Source organism: Homo sapiens, chromosome 4 (assembly GCF_000001405.40).
Source record: "Homo sapiens chromosome 4, GRCh38.p14 Primary Assembly".
In the NCBI taxonomy this organism is placed as follows: domain Eukaryota; kingdom Metazoa; phylum Chordata; class Mammalia; order Primates; family Hominidae; genus Homo; species Homo sapiens.
The window spans coordinates 43680005-43688058 of NC_000004.12; the positions used below are offsets into that span (position 1 = coordinate 43680005).

Below are 8054 nucleotides of genomic sequence, written 5' to 3' on the forward strand. Positions count from 1 at the left end.
TCTCACCTACAAAGGAGCAATTATTCCAACAGACATTAGTTTATTTTTTTAAAAATTAGCTGGGCATTAATCGTTTTCCCCCAAAGCATAAAATTTGTTGCAATTGTAGATTGGGGATTAAGACTAAACTTCTGGCCACTTGGCATTGTTTGCATTGATTTCTGATAGCAAAATTCTCCATATTTGTAATATAAAACAGATCTTTTATATGTTCTCAGTAAATAGTAATAGAAGAATTTGATGTGAATGATATATATATAACATTATATATGATATCTATAGTTTAGCTGGCCTAAGACAAATAACAATGAAAAAAGCAATTATAAAAAGAGTCTGTACCCTCAAATATTTCCTTGTCTCCACAGCAGTTATGGAAGACGCTTAGAAAATGATAGTAATTAGTGAAAATAATAAAAAACACTGTCATCAGAATCAAAATTTTAGGTAATGGTTATAGCTTACTTGGGGAGACCTTATCACTATTTAAACCACTTATCCACACCCAAACCCTTTGGAAAATTAAAATTTTGCACTAATAAGAGAAGGATTTTTGCAGCTGCCAGCACATGATGGACTTCCCAATAACAGGCAGGATGAATGTTCTTTTTCACAGTTGGAGCACGGTTCCCATGGCAACACTTGCTGTATGCATTCAAATGAAACTTCTCTTTTTCCCTTCAAGAATCTTTCCCTTTTCTTCTCCCTAGCCTAACATTTTTCATTAAACATAAAAACCTTGATCTTTAAAAGGCTAAAACCTACTGGTGAACTCCACTTTTCCATTTTCCTGGTATGAAATTTAGAAGGAAAATATGCACACTAAAATTTGACTGGATGTTGATTTTCTTCCTTATTATGTCACATGCAGAATACTCAAAACTATCTTTGACTAAGGAAAATGTCCAAATTTAACTGTGACTTAGAAACCTGAGTTTTGCATACATGCAACAATATATTAGGGGCTCTTGTTCTATTGCCTGAAGATAAAATATAATACAGAATACAGGGACTGTGTTGAGAGCAGACTGTGTTGCACATATTGGCAGCCCATTTATCACCAGGTAATTTGAATATTGATCAGGCACAGATTCTGCTATTAGTACCTGGCATTCATTAAAGGTATAAACCACTTCTAATAAATAATTCCCCAGGAGAAATCTGGGCTTGGGTGAATGTCCTTGGGTGGGGGGAGTTTATTACAAAGTTACAAAAAGCAAGAAAAAGAAGAAAGACATAAAATGTATGGTGGGGAGGTAGCTGATGTACAGAGAAACTGGTCTTTACAAATGTCATCAGCCAGAGTATGGTAGATACAGAATTAAATACTGCAACACAGTGATTTTCAATGTATGGTTATCAACTAAGGCTGATCTGCCAGCTGCTTATTATGTGTCCTCAACAGGAAAAGTTCAGTCCGTGTTTGTTGCCAGTGCACACACTTTCAATGAATGTGTTCAGTTTGTTTTTCTTTTTTTTGACTTCTTCATTATGTTTATTATGATTATCTTTATTAAAATGTAATTGTATATGTATTGAGTCTGATAACAGAAATAGATATGTTAATGTGATTGAATCATTTTGCAATGTACACATAGGTGAAAATATTGCATTGTTTTCCATAAATATACAAGAAAAAGTTAACAAAACAAATACACAAAAATATAAAATAGGGCTTCTACTTTGAATGATTTTGATTTTGTATTTTGTTTTTCTTAGATTTAATAGGTGTTATATTGTTGCAATTGATGTCAAATAAAAAAATTATGGCATGAGAAGCACTATGTAGTTGACATCAGATTACACTGGGTAATTGGGATCTTCTGCCTTTGCCTCTGCGTGCTTGAATAAATTCATTTTATTTTTTGTTTATTCTGAAAGAAAAAAAGTCAAATGGTACAAATTAAATAGTGGTGTATATTTTTATGTATTGTCTTATTTTATCTTTATAAAACACCCATAAAATAGATCTTATGTTGTCCATTTTCCATGCAAAGAAACTGATGCTTTAGGAGATAACTTGCCTCTATTAGCCAGGAGTTTGCTGGATTCTGGAAAGAGGATCAAATTCAGGTTAGTTAACATATCTTAATGAATAGACCCCTCTTTGAGCTGTTAACAAAATAAAAATAATGCAGAAGGGATGTTGAGGTACTCAGAAATTGGCAAAAGCAGGAAGTTATTATCCAGTGTGTGCCTGATGGGACACATAAAGAAAATTGTTAATGGAGCAATGGCTATGTACCTTTAGGAGAAAGGCTGTCCTATAGGCACTGTGAGGTGGACAACCATAGCCACTGCCAACCCATGCCCTTGCAGGGATGGGACAAAGTACTCAATGTCTCTCTCCAGTGAGAATGAGAGACACAGAAAAGGAGACACCTAACAAGATCAATAGGAAGTGTATTAGTCCATTCTCATGCTGCTAATAAAGACAGACCCAAGACTGGGTAATTTATAAAGGAAAGAGGTATAATTGTCTCATGGTTCAGCATGGCTGGAGAAGCCTCAGGAAACTTACAATCATGGTGGAGGAGGAAGCAAACACGTCCTTCTTCACATGGCAGCAGGAGAGAGAAGAATGAGAGCAAAAGGGGTTTGCCCCTTATAAAACCATCAAATCTTGTGAGAACTCACTCACTCACTATTATGAGAACAGCATGAGGGTAACCACCACTATGATTCAATTACCTCCCACCAGGTCCCTCCCACGTCACATGGGGATTATTGGAACTACAATTCAAGGTGAGATTTGGATGAAGATACAGGCAAAGCATAACAGGAAGTGACTCAGCCACCGCCAGATATCATACCCCAGAGGAAGAGAGGAGGCAGGGAAGAAAGATGCTAAACTTCCTTTTTCCACTGGTGCACTGCTTGCCTGTGGGGCGGCCTTATTAAGGCTTAATAAAGTTTAAGCCTTAGGTCTTTTTCTGGAAGAAGTCTCTTCCAAGGTCTTGGGATGGAACCTATAAAAATATCCATATCATTGGTTCTGTGTCATTTGAAATAGTAATATTTTTTCAATCACTATTCATTAAGAGCCCTTTTTCTTTCCTAATATTTTTCTCTCCTTGATGGGTGTATTAGGGAGCCCACTGGCATTTTGGGGATCTAGTTAAGGAGAAGTTGAGTTAGAGATTCAAAAAAAGAATAATATTCAAAAAAAGAATAAGAAAGATAAGAAGAAAGAAAATATGAAATAAAATTCAGTTTTATTTTATGTTTTTATGAATCACAGTCCTTGTTGTATATTTCAGTAATTGCTGGTTATGCAACTGTAGGAATAGCTTCCAGAAATCCTCTTACCACCTCTGTGTCAATTAACCTGTCATTATGACTAGATAGTGCAGGGCCAGAGGTGATGTTTTATAGGAGCTTGTTTAGACCACCTGGAATGGAAAGTATGTAGGTAGAGAAGAAGATTTAAAAGGAGCAACCAGGTTAAAATATTGGAATCCATCCTTGGAAAAATGTTCCAAATCTTGTACTTAAGACATAAGCAAAGAAAAACCACCTGTTAGAGATTTTCTGATATTTGACAACAATCCTAAATATTTACATAGTATTATTAAAAAGAAGTTGTGAATTTAAGAGACATTTTAAAGTCTGTAGTAAAAACCAAAACCAAATATTGATCAACCATACAAGAATAAATGCAGAATTATCTTTCTATCCTCTGTAGAGAGAATGTTACTATTAAAATCATTCTCAAATGAAAAGCATGCAGAAAAAAGCATATAGGGAAAAAGTATTGGAGATGCAATCAATGAATACAAAAATATGCTCTTTTCTGGATTTTGCTATGTTCATGCTATTTTTCTTGAACATTTCTTTTAAGAAATTGTCATGTATTCTTAAAATATGTAATTTGTTGTGAATCATCAATTTGAATATATATTCATTACTCTACCTAATTTTTTATGTATAATTTTATATCATTTTTCTAAAAGGGGTTACTCAGTTTCATGCCCCATAGTGCTTAGCCTGCCTCTGATTCTGACGGTGCCAACCATTGGCTAAAACCAAACATAAACTTGTTTCTCAGGTTGGTCTATTTGAAGGAGCGAGGGAGAAGGTGAATGACAATCAAGGTTGAGAAAAGAAAACAAAACAATAAGCTTGTCATTCAAGTTCACATAGCTACACCAAAGCAGGGTCAGGAGTCAGACGACAAATATCTGTGACTCTAAGGCACATGCTGTTTCTACATATCTCTCTACTGCTCAGTCATTAAATATAAAAAGATGAGGAGTAGGAGGTGGAAGATGGATTAGATCATCCTCCATACTCTATTTATATACAGTCCCCAAATGGGGAACAGAATATTATTATCCTTAAAGCACATGAAGGGTAATAAGATTTGCAGAAATATGAATAAAAATAGTTTGCTGACTTTCTTATCTCAGAAGATTTTTCTTTATTTCACTATGCAATCCATATGGCTAACAATTTGCTTTTGAAATGATTGGTTGATTATAAACAAGTATCTGATCAAAGGAAATATTTAATAAGAGAGGAAAGTTATTTTCAAAAGTATTCTTTGACACAATCTGGGTTGAAAAACAAGTTCTAGAAACTTTCAGAATAAAACAAAACAAAGCAAATATAAATTACCAATTGATTTTTCTTCTTTCTTTCTCTTAACACAGTACCTTAATTGAGCATTTGTTTTTGCCTTGTTTTGCTTTATTCGGGTGCCATGAAACCTTGCCCTCAACCTTGTATTCTGAAATATGTAAAATATTCCTCTCATGGCATGACTGAAAAAATACACATATTATATTTTATTGATGTATTTCTGGCAGTCTTGTTTCCTTATTTGTGATGTCTCCTTGGGGATATTGAGTTTTGGCATTATTTTAAAAAATCAGGATAAGGAGAATCAGAGAGAGCTGTCAATCTTTCAGCCAAGAGGAACATCTGCTAATAGCTAACCTACTTGAACCAGCTGGATTGTGCTTATGATAAGGTTTATTACTTTCTGAGGGGCAAGAGCTCTGGCATCCTCTGAGTGGATTCAGATACATTATCAGTCCAGGATGTATAAATTGCATTTAAAGTCAGAATAGCAATCAAGGCAAAACAATTACAGTATCTAAAATAATGCAATCAGGGATTACCACAGTTCTAAAGATCACCTGGAAAGAAATTGTAAGGAATTTGGTTCTTAGTGGATAGCTGGAGCCTCTTTCAGAGAATCACATATTCTTTCACCTCTCCTGGACCCCCACCAGACCCATTTGCCCATGAGCAAAAGGAAAACTTCACTAATGGTTAGTACTTCTGGCTAAGATGGCTACATCTGCACTCATATCCACTCTTCTCTTTACTAAGTAGTAGAAGCCTTACATTTTAGCTGAGCACAATGACTGCTCTAGAATAAAGCTTATATGTCTAGACAAGTTTGCAGCCATAGACATGTTCATATCAATAAGTTCTCACCAATGAGATGTGAGTGGAACTAATTGCTGCACCTTCTCATACCTGCCTTATTTTTGCTCTTTGATTTCCTGGTGCTTGTTTGTTCTGGACTTGATTATAAGCCACCTTAGACCACATAGACAAAGGTAATACCTTAAGACCTGCAGAAAACAGAAGGCATTCACTATGCCATCATATCTGCCCTGGGCTTCATAAACTCAGGCTACTGGGTGTGGAAGACATAAACTTTTCTCTCATTAAAATCTCCATTATTTGGTATCTTTGATGTAGCCACAGAATCTACATTCTACATTAAAAAAAAAAAAACCTCATGATTCTGGCTAAGCCCTTTTCTGGAATATTTATTTCCCCATCTTTTAGAAAGCAACTTCCCTTGAAGTCCTCATTCCTGTTTAACAAATGATTCCAAACTTCTTGTAATTAAAACAGAGAATAGTTATTTTGTATGACTCCTAGATGTCACCCCAATTACAATAGTAAAGTAAATTAACATTAGTTAATAGTTATGAATTGCTTGCTAGTGTTAGGTACTGTTCTAGGTACTTCAAATACATAAATACACTAGGTCCATACAGCAATTCTGTGATATAAAAGTTATAATTATTCTCATCATAAATACTTTGACCACTATCACATAATTCTTAAATATCTGAACCAAAATTCAAATCCAGGAAGTTGGATTCTGGTGATTTTGCATGTAGTCGTAATGCTACTGTTCCTCTGATTCTTTTCTTATCCTGCTTACTCAGATTTTTTCTGAAGTATACTATTCCCTGGGATTTACATTCATTGGTAAACTAACCAAGGCTTAATATATGTAGCTTGGATATTTATTGAATAAGTTATATGTGGAAGGCAATGCTTAGGACACGTTAAGCACTCAGTATGTATAATTTCAATAAGTAGTGGAGGGCTGGAGCCAGATCACATGGGCTCTTCAAGAGCCAACTGTGCATCTTTTCCCTACTCTACATTCAGTTCAGTGAAGGCAGGTTGCTTACTTGAAATGTTCCCTGGTAGGAATATTAAATTTACGAACACTATAAATCAGCATTTTTGTTTCATTTGGGGAATCAACTTACTAGCATACCACTTGTTAGGAAAGTTGAGAAAAATTACATAAAGCTGTTATAGGCAAAAATCATATTCTATCTGGGGATACCAACATCTCAGGGTAACTGTCATATAGGATAATATAAGAATATTATTTAAAATTATCAGTAAAAAATTGATGAAACAATTTAGCTTCAGTATGCCAGAATTTTTTCTTAAAAAAGCAACTGAGACATGGCATCTGAGCTAGACTCCAGTTCAAATAGAGATAAAAAACTGATATTAAATTTTCTGAGTGTTTGTAATAAAATGTCTATAAGGGAAGGCTTCAATAGCTTGTTCTTATTCATATATTAACTTATGTGACAAACCTAACTTTAGACTTGAGAGAAGGAATTATTTATACTATATGATGAAAGAAATCAAGAAGTGATGTACGTATGAAATCCCTTGATAAAGACTTCCTGTCCATAAATATCTTCATCAGTTCCTGATAGTTCTGACATTAAAGATTGATTTTCTAGGGTACTGAAGACTTTTCTTATTAAAATGCAAATACATCTGGAAGTCATTTTCTTGTAACACCTTATCAGTTATTGGTTTTGAAGTTCTGACTGATTAGTAGTCCACATAACTGGCCTCCTTGACTCTAAATTATAAATTAAAGATAATCAGCACATTGAAAATAATCATGCCCTTGGTTTAGTATATAAAGGGAAACTTTGATCAATACTTTAGGTGTCTCACCATATAGTTAACCTTTTATATTATTTCTACTTTTTTACTTATTTCTAGTTACTAATACCAAGCACTTCAGCAGCTCTAGTGGCATTGTCTCTGTCAAGTGTTATAGAAAATATTTTATACATTTATTAACAAAGTAAATCCCATAGCAACAGCACGTATGCTAGACTTCATATATCTAGTGTTCACTTTATTAAAAAGTTAGTTTTCAGTAATGGCACTCAATCCTGATATTTCTGAATACTTGCTTGAAACATATGCCCTATAGATGATTGTCCTGTGTTGCTTTGGCCAATCCTGCCCTAAAATCTTCATGTTTGCTTAATCCGTCAACTACTCTCAGCTAGAATTTCCCACTGATCTCTATCCCTGTGACTTGGGCCCTGTTTCTCAGACTTTTTAAAAGTTGACTGCTAACCTGGGCTTCTATACATTGCTTACTCCTAGATTTGCCATTATCATGGTCCTTGAACTGATAGGACATAGTCATTTTTTGCAGGGCTTTCCAGAGAGTAACTGTCCACTCGCTCATCAAACTGTCTGAAAATTAGGCCCACCCACCACCATGTCTTGAGCTTCTCTCAAGACTTAAATCCAGTTCTACATTTTGGGATCCATACCTAAGTGGAAACCCTCCAATCTACCTTTTTCCACTTCCTATTCAGACCTAAAGTTCAAACTTTAAACCTGAAGTTTAAACAAACAAACAAAACAGAAGACAGGTGGTTCAAAGAAGGGGGATATAGAGAATAATAGGGCAAGTGAATGGGATGGTGTTATAGGCCTCAGAATGTAGAAAAAAACAGACAAATCTT

At 34.8% G+C, this 8054-nt stretch overlaps 1 annotated feature.

Moving 5' to 3' along the window:
• Positions 2098-3297: an enhancer, noted in NCBI's record as "MED14-independent group 3 enhancer chr4:43684119-43685318 (GRCh37/hg19 assembly coordinates)". NCBI's record gives its function as "activates an origin of replication core promoter dependent on BRD2, BRD4, P300/CBP and CDK7 cofactors, and independent of MED14, by STARR-seq in HCT116 cells {active_cell/tissue: HCT116}" and the evidence as "EXISTENCE:reporter gene assay evidence [ECO:0000049][PMID:35650434]".